The sequence below is a fragment of the Homo sapiens genome, chromosome 9 (genome assembly GCF_000001405.40).
Source record: "Homo sapiens chromosome 9, GRCh38.p14 Primary Assembly".
NCBI classification, from domain to species: Eukaryota; Metazoa; Chordata; class Mammalia; order Primates; family Hominidae; genus Homo; species Homo sapiens.
Window position 1 is genome coordinate 137191022 of NC_000009.12, and position 14656 is coordinate 137205677.

Sequence of the window (14656 nt, forward strand, 5' to 3'; positions counted from 1 at the left end):
CCAAACTCTCCTTCCGCCGGAGTTTGGCCAGACAGCATCTCTTTATCTCTTTGCTCTTAGGTTTGATCCTCCAGGGAGGAAATGGTGCTTGGGTTCCATGGGCTGTAAACAGCCCCAGCTCTGGCCGTCTGAGGCAGGCGCTGCTCCCGGCCTGCCTCATCCTGTGGGTCGGGGGGCACGCCAAGCCCAGCAGAAGACACCGTCCCCTGTGCTGCCCTCATGCTGCCCTTCCCTTGGTCCCTCCCCAGGCTCTGGGCCCCTCAGAGAAGCCACTTCAGGCCCAACAGCTGCAACACTCTCACCCTCCCACCTGAAGTCTAGGCCCCTGACAGCAGGCCTGTCATCCTACCTCCCACAGTGCCAGCTCTGGGAGGCTGGGGTGGAGGGGCAACAGGTTAACAGGCCATGGAAGTTGGGAGGTCAGAGCCTTGGCCACTGGGACATCAAGGAGTGGGGGTACCAGATCGGGGTCACCTCCCACACACCCTGGCATAGACGTGCAAACTGGGGCCCACTGGACCCCATGTGGCCTCTTCCTGCAGAGACCTCCCCCTGCTCCCTTCTCAGCCAAGGACCACGCAGTGGGGACACCAGCAGCCTTGTCCAGTGCTGTTTATTGAGTCCATCATCAGAGGCAGGAAAGACGCCACTCATCACAGAGGGCATGTGGGCTGCGGGCAGGGGCTTAGGGTCCTGCAGAGGACAAGTAGCTGGGACAGCCCTTCACCCCGACACCCCATGGCCACTGTGAGGCAGGCTGAGGAGACAGGACAGGGAATGGCCAGGTGCAGAATCTGCACAGCCCCCTGCCGGGTCGCAGATGGCCACCACCCAGCAGGCCCCTGGCACTCACCCACAGGCAGTTCCCCACCCCACTTCCCCCTTGGACCCTCCCAAATCAGGGCCGGGGAGTGAGACCCAGACCTGGCCCCGATGGCAGGAGGCACCCTAGCTGCTTCCAGGGCCAGGAGGGGTGGGTGGGATACAGTGAGGCCAAACAAGGCAGAAGCGGGTGCAGTAGTCCCTGGCTACTGCCCAGCTTCCGGGACTCCCACAGCTGGGCTCAGCCTTGGTCCTGGCAGTGCTGGGCTCAGAAATACAGGGCTGGCTCGCTGCGGAAGTCCGAGAGGTCATTCTGACTGGCGGGTGTGAGCTGAAAGTGAGAGGACAGAATGTGGACACATGGGCTCGCCCGGGTGTCAGACTCCCCCCAGCGCTCCACTCCCCCGCATCTCACCATGGCCTCCACGGGCGGGGGCTCTGCCTCCCTCGGGGCCTGCTCCAGCGCCTGCTCCTGCCACTTGCTGAAGGCCACAGAGTGCTTCGGGGTGTAGCTGGACAGGCCTGTGAATGGAGGTGCACATGCAGACGTGGACACAGACCAGGCTCCACCCCTCCCAGGCTGCCTGTCCCCCAGGTGGGCACTCACCTGAGCTACCCTCTGGCAGCCGAGAGCTCTCGGGTCTCACGCTGCTCACAAACGTGGCCCGGGGCAGGAAGAGTGCAAAGGGCTTCTCCTCTGAGCCGGATCCCTCTTCCTCCTCTTCCTCTTCCTCCTCCTCCTCCTCCTCCTCCTCCTGCTGGTCCACCTCTTCCTCCTGCTCTAGGGAGCTCTCGGAAGGGTACTCAAATGTGGTCTGCAGGCTTTTGTCGTTGAAGGAGATCTTCATCTGGGAGTGAGAGTCACGTGAACGAGGGCTGAGGGCCCACATGGGCACAGTGATGCCAGGGGCTCAGGTTCAGCCCTCAGGATGAGGCTGACCCAAGTGGGGCGCCAGACACACCATCAACCGTTCCGGGGGCTCCAGGAGGGGGCACAGAGCTCTCCAGCTGGACCCTGCAGGCGTCCATCCCTCCACCCTGGGGGTCAACCTCCCCTCCCCATTCCAGCCAGGGACCAAACGCTGACCAGGACCAGGAGCCCAAAGCCTCTGGGTCCCCAGAAGCCTCTAGACCAGCTCCTGGAGCTACCATCTCAGGCCCCTCCTGCTCTGCTGTCTGGGCAGAGTGCCAGCTGGGGGGAAACTGGGGTGGACACATCCCCTCCCACCAAGCAGCTCTAGAGCAGGAACAGGGTGGAAAAGAGGCTGTCCCCTCAGGGGCCTTGCACTCTAGGCTCCAGGCAGCTCCTGCTGGTGTCTGGGGCCTCTCTCTAAAGCCAAGTTCATGTCCTGGCTTACTGGATGCCTGGACAATCCAGCAGAGCATGGACCCCCCACTGTGAACAGGGGCCTCTGTGAGCCGTCAAGGCCAGGCAGTAGCCTCAGGCACCATCACCCACCTAACATAGTTGAGAGTTGGCCTGCGGCTGTGCAGAGTAGGGGGCTGCCTCCACTGAGCCTGGGTGCCAGCAACCCCAGCAGTGACCCCTTCCTCACCCTGCTGCCCCTCTGGCCCTCGTCCTCCATCCCCACTTCGTAGGCTGCAAGATTTCACATCTGAGCAAATTCTTTCCTTCTCCCAGTGGCCTTGAAGCCCAGGCAGGGCTGCTGGTTCCCAGGGGTAATGGGGGCAGTGGGGACCAATGGTCAGGACTCTCCACCTCCCCTGAACGGGGCTTGCATGGGGCTAAGCTCCCCACAACAGCCGAGCTCCCACTGCTCAGCTGCACTCAGCCCGGCCCCAGTGGTCCCTAATGAATATGAGCGGCCCCCGCTTGCAGCAGATGGAAGCAGCCCTGAGGGAGCTCGAAATATTAAACTCTTCCTGGGCACAGGACACCAGCAGCTCAAGTTCCTCCTCCTCCCCTAGAAGGACCCGGAGGCAGGAGCCGGGCCCCAGGCAGAGAACCACCGCAGCCAGGCACAGGACGAGACGGCCTCTCAGGAGGCAGCCGAGGAGGCCACACAGGGCTGCCAGGACAGGGCCAAGGGCACACACTCTTGCCATCATGCTCTCTCCCACAGCGGCCACACGGCCCACACAGCCAGGTGTACCCTCAGGTCCCTTCTCACCACGAATACCCCCGCCTCCCACAGCTGGGGGGCCACGCTTTGTGCCCAAACCCCCAGCTTCCCCTCTCAGCACAGCTCACACAGAGCCCTGCTGGGCAACTCAGCTGCCTGCTTGCACCCCTACCCCAGGCCCCGGCACCCCAGCCGTCTGCATGGATGAGCGGGGGAGGGGGAGGCCACCTGGGCCAGACAAAACAAGGAGGAAAGCACCCGCTCCTGTCCCTTAACTGCCCTGCCTGTGGCTAGGCCCACCTGGCCCTCCAACGCTCATCCCACAGGAGGCCAGGCAGGGAGAGGCTGGGACAGACCTCACAGGCACCCACCCACTGCCAGCCCACTTGGGGAGGGGGTCACCCGGCCCTCCCAGACTCATGCTTTGGGACAGATACCCCAGGTGGAGGTGCTCAAGGCAGGACAGGGCTGGTGGCTAGAGCTCTCCCACAGCCCCGAAGTCCAGCAGCAAATGGGGTTTCCAGTCGCCCTGGATATGTGGAGCTAACCCAGATGACCCCGAAGCCCTCCAGGCCCAGCCCCCACGGCTGAGAACACAGAAGGGCTGGCTGCCAGGGCCGCGGGATTAGTGCCCTCACTCGTGCACATGACCGGTCCCAGCAGGGGGGCCGCGGGGGCTGGGTGCACATGGGCCCTGAGCCTGGTACAGCCTGGCCAGGCGGTGCGGGGCGGGGGGTGGACAGGCAGCCCCTGTCTGCCCTCAGCTGGGGCCCGGGGCTCTGGTCACGTCCTGCCTCCCCAGGTCTCCTCAGCTGGGCTGGTGCCTGCTGACTCGCACAGCCCTCCCCTCCCACTGTGGGGACAGGACACCCCGTGACTCATACGGTGGGCAGCCTGAAGACCCCGAGACGCAGGATGGGCAGAGGGTGTGGCCAGGGTCTGGGACCGCACGCACCTGGCCGCAGCCTATCAGGGACTTTGCCTGGCACAGCCAACAGAGCAGGCAGGTGGGTCCCAGCTCAGCCCAGCCTCCCAGCAGAGCCTCCCGGCTTCTCAGGACCCTTCTGTTCTCGCTCCACCCACCCTGCCTGTGCACACCTAGCTTTGGTTACCAAAGGGCCTGGCCTCCACCTGGGACAAAGGGCCAAGCAGCCAGCCCCAACCTGCCCAGATGGAGGTGTGAGCTGAGCCCAGCCCCGCCTCTCCCTCCTCCCTGCACACAGCTACCTGCCTCCCATCCCCCACGCAGCCCCAGCCAAGGCTCCCACGGGTGGCCGGACCCTAGACCAGGCTGCACGAGTGCAATGCCCAGAGCAGGCTCCCGGGAAGCTGGGTGCTCCCTGAGTCAAGTGTGGCCCCAGCGCCAGGCACGGCCTCCACCCATGAGAAAGCTGAGGGAGGAGCGTCCAGGCCGCTCCTGGGGTTCCCGGCTTCAGAAGGACCACCTAGGCGGCACCTATGGGAAGAGCTGGCGGAGAGACGAGAAGGAAAGGAAAACTGACAAGAAGGGACTCAGCCAACAACAGTGAGAGCCTCTGGCCACCCAGGATCTGCCTGCACAGGGGTAGAGGCAGGGAGGAGCCCAGCCTGGGGCTTGGTGCTGGCCAGGAGGTGGTGTCAGTAGGAAGGGCAGATGTCAGGGTGGCTCTTGGGTCTAAGGATCAGAGAGCGAGGCCTTGGGAGTGGAGGCGGAAGTTGCACAGCAGGTGAGGGCGGACGGCCCTGGGTGTCCAGGACTGAGCCCTGGGGACACTGACACGCTCCAGCTGGGCAGAGAGCCAAGAGGGGAGGAGGGGAGTAGGGCAGAGGGGACGGGAAGGGGCCGCCAGACAGGTAGGAGCCAGGCCAGGTGGTGCTCCACGAAGAGGAAAAGCTACAGCGCCGAGTCTCAAGGGAGGCAGGTGTGAGGATGAGAATGGGTGTCCCACCCTCCAGGAAAGCAGCCCGGGCGTGGCTGCAGCACACAGCAGTCTGCTCCAAGCTCAGCCCTGCAAGACGGGGCACCTGCCGCTTCTGCCAATGGATAACTTAAGTGGGCCTGTGCCTGCCAGGCAGGCCCCCACCCCGGCACACAGGCCAGCAGCTCCCCACTGCCCAGAGCAGGGCTGCACCCCTCGGAGGCGGGCAAGGGTATCATACCCTGTGCAGGCACAGCCAGCCCTGGGGCAGGCCCCTCACCGACTCCCACCACCCAGACAACTCCACTGAAGAGCTGCCCTTCACCTGTACCCCAGGAAAAGCAGCAGCACCGCCAGCCGCTGAGGTGCACAGTGAGCCGTTGGCCCACAGTCAGGTCCTGCTAGACTCCGGGCCCTGCAATCCCTGCACTCCACCCCCACGCCCGGGGGTCACAGCCAGTGGTCCCAACCAAAGGCTGGGGTCAGCACGGTGGCTCACGCCTGTAATCCCAGCACTTTGGGAGGCTAAGGCAGGCGGATCATCTGAGGTCAGGAGTTCGAGACCAACCTGGCCAATATGGTAAAACCTCGTCTCTACTAAAAATACGATAATTAGCTGGGCATGGTGGCAGGCGCCTGTAATCCCAGCTACTTGAGAGGCTGAGGCAGGAGAATCGCTTGAACCCTGGGAGATGAAGTTTGCCCTGAGCCGGGATCCTGCCACTACCCTCCAGCCTGGGCGACAGAGCAAGACTCTGTCTCAAAAAACAAAAAATAAAAAAAGGCTGGCCAGGGTGGTCAGACAAGGCCAGGCACAGGACCCGCAGGGGCACCTCGCACCCCCACCAGTGAGTGCTCCTGGCCCAGGGGCCACAGAGTACATGGGACAGCCCTGCCCCACAGCCCACCGTGCCGAGGCCAGCAAGCCATTCTGAAAGGCAGGGCAGCCCCACGCCTCTGTCCCCTCCTGATGGACATTCTGGCTCTTCCCAGGCAGGGCAGCTGGCCTGTACCCAGGCGGGAAGTCACAGCCAGCAGGTCATGCTGCTCTGGCAGGGCCCTGCCCGGGCCACCTGGCCATGCCAGGTATCGTCCATCTGGACCCCCACCCCTTCAGGCTGGCCCGAGCTCCTCCCTCCTGCTGGTCCAGGGCCTGTTTCCCAGGCTCAGCCTCTCCCCCACTGCATCTTCCTGCTCCTGTTGGCCCTCCGGCCCCCACCCTGCCCTTCTGACCCTAACCCAGCCGCAAATGACCCCCACAGTTCTGTCCCTTCTTTGCTTTTTTCTTTTTGAGACAGAGTCTCACTCTGTCGCCCAGGCTGGAGTGCAATGGCGCGATCTCGGCTCACTGCAAGCTCCGCCTCCCGGGTTCAAGCAATTCTCCTGCCTCAGTCTCCTGAATAGCTGGGATTATAGGCGCCCGCCACCACGCCCAGCTAATTTTTTTATATCTTCTTAGTAGAGACGGGGTTTCACCACCTTGGCAAGGCTTGTCTTGAACTCCTGACCTCGTGATCCACCCGCCTCGGCCTCCCAAAGTGCTGGGATTACAAGGTGTGAGCCACCGCGCCCAGCCCAGTTCTGTCCCTTCTGAGGGCAAGATGGCCAGACTCTAGGCAGTGGCCTCAAGTCCCAGGAAGAAGCCAGGCTCCCAGGGATGGCCACACAGGTTAAGGGGAGGGGTTCTAGAAACAGAAACCTGAACTCCGTACTCGCCCCACAAGCCCCATGACCCCGTCTGACTCCCAAGCTGAGGCGCAGTTTCTCTCTACAAAGGGGGAGCTGTCCCCACTGCCACCTCTGGGGCAAGCCCAGGAGGTGCCCACCTCACACAGCAGCCAGGGCCAAAGGTACAGACGCAGGGGAGGGAGAGGCAGACAGGAGCTGGAGGAGAGAGGCTGTGGCTATCAGACTGACCCCACCTTGATGGGCTGGGGTGATGCTCGGGCGAGGGTCGGGGAGATAGACCCACGTGGCTCCAGGAGTGGGAGGGGCCCTGGACCCAGCCCCAAGCCCCCACTGGAAGCACCTCAGGAGGGTTAGCACGGATGCCTGGGCCGGCAGATAGAGCCGGCAGGGGCACCAACGCCCTGGTTCCAGGAGGGGAGTATGGCACAGGGAGAGGCGCAATGCCAAGGCCAATCCCGGGCAGGAAGCAAACAGAGGGAGGCAGCAGCCTATCTGCTGAGGGAGCCTGCAAGGTCCCATCCCCAGCCTGGGGAAACTGAGGCTGGAGGACAGCCCGCCTCAGGGGTGAGCCTAGCCAGCAATGGCTCTGGGGCAGTGCCTGGATAGGAAGACCCAAGGGAGGCGCCCCAGGCGCCCCCCCTCAGTCCCCAGGAAAGGTACACCTGCTTCCTGACAGGTCACCGCAGACCGGGAAGTCACATGGAGCTGCCCTTGGAATTTGCCCCAGGGAACAAATACAGGTGCAGGAATTACCAGAAAGAATCTGAAGATTTTTTTTCCTGTGCCCAGAGGATTCCAGGCCACTGGCCAAGAGGGAGACTCCCCTGCCTGGCTGGCTCAGAGCCTCCGAAGGCCCCTTCTCCCCAGCAAGCTTCCCAGGCCCAGAACAGGCATACACGGCACTCCTGCCCAGCTCCCAACCAGTGTGCCTTCTGGGGAGCTGATGGCCCTCTCCCAACTGGCTGGTGGGCTGCACCCCAAGGCTGACTGTGATGCGAGGATCCAGCCAACCCCGATCATCTGGCCCTTCCCATTCATAGCGTGGCGCCTGGCGCCCATGCAGCGGGCCTCCAGGAGACCATGTGAGGCCACCCCTCAAAGCCAAGCCCAGGGAGGAACCCACAAGCCCAGGTCTGCTTCTTTCAGCTGGACTCACAAAGGGACAGACCCGCCCAGCTAATTCCAGATGAGCCACAACAACTGGCAAGGGACATAGCACTGTCTGCCCTGTCGCTCTCCAGCAGCCTGGCAAGGCACACAGCAGGCCAGCTGTCCCCACGGCCCAAGTCAGGGGGCTCCACTGGGGCCCTGGACCCAGCACGGCCCACCCAGCCCCAGCTCGCCTCAAGTCCATGTAGAAACCATCCTTTGCCCAGGCCAAGCGTCCTGGGATCAGGGCAGGTGCTGCCCCCACAGTTCTGTGAGCTGTCACTCTCTCCCTGCCAGCCAGTGGCCCTGCCCCCACCACTGACCTTCTTTCTTGAGGAGCCAGCCTTGGTGAGGCAGGACTTCTGCAGGGCCAGGTAGCCGCCAATCACCTCGATCTCATGCACGGTGGGGTAGCGCTTCTTCAACGTGGGCCCCAGGAGGCAACTAGCCTCCTCCTCCTCGGCCTCCCGTGGCCGAGGCTCCCTGTTGGCCTGACTGAAGTGCTGGTCCTGCAGAGTCCCTGGCTTCCTCTTGGGCACCACTGTGAAGGTGTTGCTGCCCCGGGGCTGAAGCTCTGCCACGCACCCGGGCCTGGCAGGGTGCAGAGGCCTGGCAGGGTGCGGGAGGTAGGGTAGTTTGGCTGCTTGGGGGGCCTCCTCCGAGTCTACCTCATCGATGAAGGTGACAGGCAGCCCCGGCCTCACATATTCCCGGCTATTCTTGGCCAAGCCAGGAACCCTGAGGCCCTCAGCAGGCTCAGCTTCTTCCGAAGCAGCCGGCAGGAAGGGGGGCGGTGAGGACGGCCTCTGCCACCTAATAGCCCGGTCAGCGAGGGCGGTGGCTGTCCTGGGACAGGCCCCCTCCTCGACTGCCCACTGTGCCTCGACCTCCAGGGGGCTCTTCCCGAGGGCAGGCGCACCATCCCCTCCAGGCACCGGCTGGGATCCGAGCTCCTGGCTCGGGGAGGCCGGGCCCAGGTCTCCCTTTGGCAGCTCCACGGACTGCCTCCCCTCAGGAGGAGGAGCCCCGGAGGCCTTGCTCTTGGGGATGACCATGAAAGAATTTCGAGAGTTTGCGCGGAGGCTGGCCAGCGCCCGGGCCTGGAGGTCCCCCAAGGGGATGGTCTCCATAACTGGCTTGGGGGCCGGCCGTATCTCGAAGGAGTCGTTGGTGCTGGTGGCTGCGGAGACGCACTGGCGCTGGCTAGGAGTGGCACTGGCAGGGGGTGAGGCTGGAGTGGCACTCGGGGTCCCGGGGCTGGGGGGCGGGTGGAGGGAGGGATCCCCCGACTCCACCTTTGGCTTCCACTGTCCCGACCCAGGCGGGGAGCCCGCGAGGCGGTTGGCAGGGCCGGCCCGGGGCTCAGGGGCCGAGTGCCCGTTGGAGAGCAGGCGGGCGCCCGCGCCGCGGTGCAGACCCCGGGGGTGGACGGTGAAGGAGTTGCTGCCGGTCTTCTGGAGGAAGTCGCTGCGCCGGGCCCCGGGGCTCGCCCCGCCACCGCGGGGCCCGGGCGCGGCGGGCGGGCTGGGGGCCGCGGGCGGGGGCCGGGGCGGCGCGGGCGGCGGCGGCGGCGGCGGGGGGCGGGCGCGCTCGGGGCTCCCGCGGCGGCGCGGCGCGGCGGGCGGGTCGAACCTCTCCAGTAGGCGGCTGACGCGGCCGGGCGGCGCCCCGTACACCAGCACCTCGGCGGCGCGGATCTGCGCGGCCCCCGGGGCGGGCGGCGCGGGCGGGAAGCCGGGCACCGTCTCGATGATGAGGACGCTGTCGGCGCGGAGGGCGCGCACGCCAGGCACGCGGCGGTACCGCTCCAGCAGCCGCGCCCCCGCCGCGCCCCCGCCGCGCCGCCGCTCGGCCTCCAGCAGCATGAACGGGTTCTCGCGCAGCGGGCCCAGGCTCTCGGCCAGCACCCGCTGCTCGGGCTCCGCCGCCCCGGGCCCCGCGCCCCCGCCCAGCGCGGCTAGCTTGGCCCGCTTCCGCTCCAGGATCTCACGCTTCCAAGCGGGCACCGCAGCGCGCGGCCCCGAGCCCGGCCGCCCCAGGGCGGCCATGCTGCGAACGCGGCAGCGGACGGCTGGACTGAGGGCCGGAGTGGCAGCCGCCGCCGCGGCCAGCCTGGGCGCCGCGGCCACGCCCCCTCCCGGGCCACCGACCATTGGGGAAAGCCCGCTCTCCCCGCCCCGTGCGGGAGGCCCACCTATGGCAGGGGAGGAGGGCGGGCCCCTCAAGTGACCCTACCGATTGGACAACACTCGCCTCAACCCCGCCTCCCAAGGGACTTCATTGGACAACGCCTATCACCGGAGCTGGCCTCCATTGGGGACGGCCCCCCGGACACACCCCGGTGCCTCGCGCCGCTCACTGGCAGACCCCACTTCCGCCTCTGCGCTCTCAGCTCCCGGCGTCCCTGGGGGTAGCCGGGTGCGCGGCCCCTGGACCCTGCGCCCCGAGTGACCTTGGCTGAGCTTGGGACTTCCTCATGCTGCCAGCACCGAGGCCGCCTGTTCCGTCCGCTGAGAGCGCGGTGCAGGAAGGGCGCTGCTCCAGGACCGAAGGCACCCGTGTCCGTGGACGGTGCACAGGCCACACTCTGGCCCGGACCCTGCTTTCACCAGGGGTCCTCCGACCTCCGGCAGGTGCCTGCGGGGCTTGGAAATGCCAATTCTGGAGCCCCGAGCAGCCCCAACGAACCAGTTTCTCAGAAATCCCTAGTTTTTATAGGCTGCCCAGGTGGGAGCCTCTTAACCCAACCTTGCCATCCGTGGTCCCCAAAAAGCATCTGCAGGAGCAGGCACAAAGGAAGCAGCCTCTCCCGCCACACGCAAGCAGGTTCACCAGGGCAGGGCCCTGCATGCTTGGAGAGCTCTCCAATGCATTCAGAGCCAAAAAAAAAAAAAAAAAGCCAGGGTAACGGTGGGCCCCATAGGGCCGACCCCTGTGTCTGATTATTCCACCCTGCTGCCACGTTAAGGTTACTCCTCTCCCATCGGTTGAACGTCCCCTCATCAAGGCTCCGGATACCATGACCCTGAGGGCACAGCCTCCCGGCTGACAAGTCCCTTCTGCCCCAGGGAGGGCTTCAGAGTGCTTCCACAGCCTTTCAAGCCTGCAGACAATAGGGAGATCGCTTGGAGTCACGGGGAGAAGGGGAATTGGAGTGCACGGACATCACCTTCTTTCCATCACCTGCCCTGCAGTCAGCAGCCTGCTCAGTAGACACTGCTGTTTCCCACACCAAGGTCGCCTGGGTCTCTGCAATGATGCAGAACAGATTTTTTTTTTTTAACTTGGGGATGCCCTTCTCAGCTTCTGTGCCCCATGACAGTCTGCAGCAGCCGCTAGCTTAATGCTTGCCTTATTCTCCTGCCACTCCATTAAGCTGGAGAAAATAAACTTTTTCTTTTTCTTTTTTTTTTGAGATAGAGTCTTGCTCTTGTCACCCAGGCTGGAGTGCAGTGGCACGATCTCGGCTCACTACAACCTCCGCCTCCAGGATTCAAGCGATTCTCCTGCCTTCGCCTCCCAAGTAGCTGGGGTTACAGGTGCCCACCACAACGCCCGGCTAATTTTTGTATTTTTAGTAGAGACGGGATTTCGCCATGTTGGCCAGGCTGGTCTCGAACTCCTGGCCTCATGATCTGCCTGCCTTGGCCTCCCAAACTGCTGGGATTACAGGCGTGAGCCACTGGGCCTGGCCAGAATAAACTTTCATTTCAGCTTTCCAGAAGCCAAGTGTCTCCTCCCTTAGGGCCCTCCTCAAATCACCTTTCTAAAGGAAGCATCTGATGTTCATCACTTCTACCCTAGTAGGGTTGCCCAATTCTGAACTACCAAAATAAAACAGGGGAACACACAAAACACAAAATCTAGAAATAAATAACATTACGAGGAAACTCACTCCCACTGTTCAGCTTGAATCTGGCTTTGACAAAAGTTATGCCAATCCCAGGCTGGACACAGTGTCGTAGCAACAAACCAGATAAGCTGCCTCCAACGCAAGCCCCTCCATGGTTTACACAACTAAGCATACACGCCAGGCAGAGGCTGACACCGCACTCCGCTGGCCAGGCTGATGCATGAGAGCAGAGGTCAGCACACCTGTTCTGTAACGAGCCAGATAGGAAATTTTTTTTTTTTTTTTTTTTTGAGACAGAGTCTCGCTCTGTCGCCCACGCTGGAGTGCAGTGGTGCTATCTCGGCTGACTGCAATCTCTGCCTCCCAGGTTCAAGCAATTCTCCTGCCTCAGCCTCCTGAGTAGCTGGGATTACAGGCATGCGCCACCATGCCCAGCTAATTTTAGTATTTTTAGTAGAGACGGGGTTTCACCACGTTGGTCAGGCTGGTCTCAAACTCCTGACCTCGTGATCTGCCCGCCTCCGCCTCCCAAAGTGCTGGGATTACAAGCGTGAGCCACCGCATCTGGCCCCAGACAGGAAATATTTTAGCCCACTGGTTTTTGCCAGGGACAATTTTGTTCCCCAGGGCCCTTAGCAATGTCTGGATAAACATCTGCTTGTCACAAGTGAAGGCTGCTACTGGCATCTACCCAGGAGAGGCAGGAGCACTGCGAAACAGACTGCATCCTCACTAGAGAATCTTCTGGCCCCAAAGGCCAAGAGTGCCAATTAAGAGACCTTGGACTCTGAGGGTCATATCCACTCTCTGTCACAAGTTCTGCTTTTGTTTTTTTTTTTGTTTGTTTGTTTTTTTCTGAGACAGAGTCTCGCTCTGTTGGCCAGGCTGGAGTGCAGTGGCGTTGTCTCGGCTCACTGCAAGCTCCGCCTCCCGGGTTCACGCCATTCTCCTGCCTCAGCCTCCCAAGTAGCTGGGACTATAGGCACCCGCCACCACGCCCGGCTAATTTTTGTATTTTTAGTAGAGACAGGGTTTCACCGTGTTAGCCAGGATAGTTTCGATCTCCTGATCTTGTGATCCACCCACCTCGGCCTCCCAAAGTGCTGGGATTACAGGCGTGAGCCACCACGCCTGGCCTGCTTTTGCTTTTAATCATTTAGGGGTGTAAAAACCATCCTCAGCTCAAGGGTCATACAAAAACAGGCCTTAGGACATTGTTTGCTGATCCCTGCTCTACAGAGTGCCAACAAGGCCCACAAAGACCACACTCTGGCAAGAAGTCATGGGCTCTGGGGTCACAAACTATTCAATGGGTCTTTAACATGAGCCCAGATTGTTGTCTTCATACAGGGTGGGGGGGGGGGTGCCTGAGTTACCCACCTCCTAGAGCAGGAAGGAGGGATTCTCCAGAACAAGTGATTCCCACCACCACCATCCACTAAGCTCTAGCCACAGGTTTCAATCCATTTAAAACCGCAGCTCTGTAACCAGCTACACCACGTAGCAGAGAGTATCTCAATATTCATCCTATTTAACCCTTGAGGGTTACAGGCAACCACTATTCATTTCAGGAAAACATTCTCTTACTTTATTTGCATCTCAGCAAAGGTTCTCATGTGGCACCTGACTGGCATCAAACCAAAGTTCGTAGGCCAACAAAGATGGGCCACTCACAAGCTTCCCATTTGTAGATCTCAGTGCCTATGAGTATCTGACACCTGTTCCTCTCTTCAGTCTCTTAGGGAGGCTTAAATCTGTCTCAGGTGTGCTAAGAGTGCCAGCCCAAGGTGGTCAAAAGTCCACAAAACTGCAGTCTTTGCTGGGATAGTAAGCCAAGCAGTGCCTGGACAGCAGAGTTCTTTTCTTGGGCAACAGATAACCAGACAGGACTCTAATCGTGCTCTTATTCAACATTCTTCTGTCTCTGCCTAGACTGGAATAAAAAGCCAATCTCTCTCGTGGCACAGGGAAGGAGATACAAGCTCGTTTACATGTGATAGATCTAACAAAGGCATCTACCGAAGTCTGGTCTGGATAGACGGCACAGGGAGCTCTTAGGTCAGCGCTGCTGGTTGGAGGACATTCCTGAGTCCAGCTTTGCAGCCTTTGTGCAACAGTACTTTCCCAGGATCCACAGGAAATACTCAGAGTCCACCTGGACATTTTACTTATATTCAGTTTCCAAGTGTCAGAGGGGTTCAGGACTGTCTGGCCTGGGGGGCCTCCTCATGACCTCAATTCAGGATTATCTACTCAAAGCATTAAACAAAAGGAAATACATTTTCAGGATGAAGGCTGCTCTTTTAAGCCCTGCTGAAGAAACCATTTCAAACAGGATTGGAATAGGGAAACCCGGCACTCAGCTCGGCGCAAGCCGGCGGTGCCTTCAGACTAGAGAGCCTCTCCTCCGGTGCGCTGCAAGTAGGGCCTCGGCTCGAGGTCAACATTCTAGTTGTCCAGCGCTCCCTCTCCGGCACCTCGGTGAGGCTAGTTGACCCGACAGGCGCGGATCATGAGCAGCTGCAGGAGAATGAAGAGCGGGGACGTAATGAGGCCGAACCAGAGCTCCCGAGTCTGCTCCGCCAGCTTCTGGCACAACAGCATCTCGAAGACGAACTTGAGACTCAGGACCGTAAGTACCCAGAAAAGGCGGAGCACCGCCAGCCGCTTCTCTCCATCCTGGAAGAGGCGCACGGACACGATGGTGGTGAAGTAGGTGCTGAGCCCGTCAGCGGCGAAGAAAGGCACGAACACGTTCCACCAGGAGAGGCCCGGGACCAGGCCATCCACACGCAGTGCCAGCAGCACAGAGAACACCAACAGGGCCAGCAGGTGCACGAAGATCTCGAAGGTGGCGAAGCCTAGCCACTGCACCAGCTCCCGGAGCGAGAAGAGCATCGCGCCCGTTGAGCGCGGGCCGGGGCCCGGCCGAGCGTGCCACCCGCGGGGCTGCGTCTCCTCTCCCCGTGGCCCTCGCCCGCGCCTGCCGCCGCTGCTGCGAGCGAGAGGCAGCGAGCGGCCCCGCCAGCCCCAGCCCTCGGCCCTGATGCGCCGGCAATCCCCCGGCCCCGACCCGGGACTCAACCCTGGCCGCCCGTGAACGCCCGCCTCGATCGGACGCCATGCCCCCACAGGGCGCGTCCCTAGTGCGTCACTTCCGG

General features: G+C 62.1%; 2 protein-coding genes across 2 annotated transcripts, besides 6 other annotated features; both read right to left on the reverse strand.

The window, feature by feature from the left end:
• On the reverse strand, positions 598-9720 carry TPRN (taperin). Its single transcript, NM_001128228.3, has 4 exons — positions 7966-9720; positions 1430-1670; positions 1238-1344; positions 598-1153 (listed from the first exon to the last, which is right to left on the reverse strand). Exons 1-4 carry the CDS (start codon positions 9688-9690, stop codon positions 1091-1093), a joined length of 2136 nt encoding a protein of 711 aa, NP_001121700.2. The 5' UTR covers positions 9691-9720; the 3' UTR covers positions 598-1090.
• Positions 2865-3743: an enhancer, noted in NCBI's record as "H3K27ac-H3K4me1 hESC enhancer chr9:140088338-140089216 (GRCh37/hg19 assembly coordinates)". NCBI's record gives its function as "activates a minimal SCP1, AML or CMV promoter by ChIP-STARR-seq in naive H9 embryonic stem cells {active_cell/tissue: H9 hESC(naive)}" and the evidence as "EXISTENCE:reporter gene assay evidence [ECO:0000049][PMID:30033119]".
• Positions 3744-4621: an enhancer, noted in NCBI's record as "H3K27ac-H3K4me1 hESC enhancer chr9:140089217-140090094 (GRCh37/hg19 assembly coordinates)". NCBI's record gives its function as "activates a minimal SCP1, AML or CMV promoter by ChIP-STARR-seq in naive H9 embryonic stem cells {active_cell/tissue: H9 hESC(naive)}" and the evidence as "EXISTENCE:reporter gene assay evidence [ECO:0000049][PMID:30033119]".
• Positions 9322-9391: a silencer, noted in NCBI's record as "silent region_20589". NCBI's record gives its function as "represses an Ori minimal core promoter by ATAC-STARR-seq in GM12878 lymphoblastoid cells {active_cell/tissue: GM12878}" and the evidence as "EXISTENCE:reporter gene assay evidence [ECO:0000049][PMID:35858748]".
• Positions 9482-9951: a silencer, noted in NCBI's record as "silent region_20590". NCBI's record gives its function as "represses an Ori minimal core promoter by ATAC-STARR-seq in GM12878 lymphoblastoid cells {active_cell/tissue: GM12878}" and the evidence as "EXISTENCE:reporter gene assay evidence [ECO:0000049][PMID:35858748]".
• Positions 10180-10708: an enhancer, noted in NCBI's record as "H3K27ac-H3K4me1 hESC enhancer chr9:140095653-140096181 (GRCh37/hg19 assembly coordinates)". NCBI's record gives its function as "activates a minimal SCP1, AML or CMV promoter by ChIP-STARR-seq in naive H9 embryonic stem cells {active_cell/tissue: H9 hESC(naive)}" and the evidence as "EXISTENCE:reporter gene assay evidence [ECO:0000049][PMID:30033119]".
• Positions 13061-14627, reverse strand: TMEM203 (transmembrane protein 203). Its single transcript, NM_053045.2, has one exon. It carries the CDS (start codon positions 14391-14393, stop codon positions 13983-13985), a length of 411 nt encoding a protein of 136 aa, NP_444273.1. The 5' UTR covers positions 14394-14627; the 3' UTR covers positions 13061-13982.
• Positions 14383-14642: a silencer, noted in NCBI's record as "silent region_20591". NCBI's record gives its function as "represses an Ori minimal core promoter by ATAC-STARR-seq in GM12878 lymphoblastoid cells {active_cell/tissue: GM12878}" and the evidence as "EXISTENCE:reporter gene assay evidence [ECO:0000049][PMID:35858748]".

Bases quoted from the DNA above. Each gene is read 5' to 3' on its own strand.
- TMEM203 (NM_053045.2), bottom strand. From the start codon at position 14,393: ATGCTCTTCTCGCTCCGGGAGCTGGTGCAGTGGCTAGGCTTCGCCACC.
- TPRN (NM_001128228.3), bottom strand. From the start codon at position 9,690: ATGGCCGCCCTGGGGCGGCCGGGCTCGGGGCCGCGCGCTGCGGTGCCC. The intron at 1,345-1,429 runs GTGAGTGCCCAC...CTCCATTCACAG, and splicing joins GCTGCCAGAGGGTAGCTCAG to GCCTGTCCAGCTACACCCCG. The intron at 1,154-1,237 runs GTGAGATGCGGG...TCTCACTTTCAG, and splicing joins CCCCGCCCGTGGAGGCCATG to CTCACACCCGCCAGTCAGAA.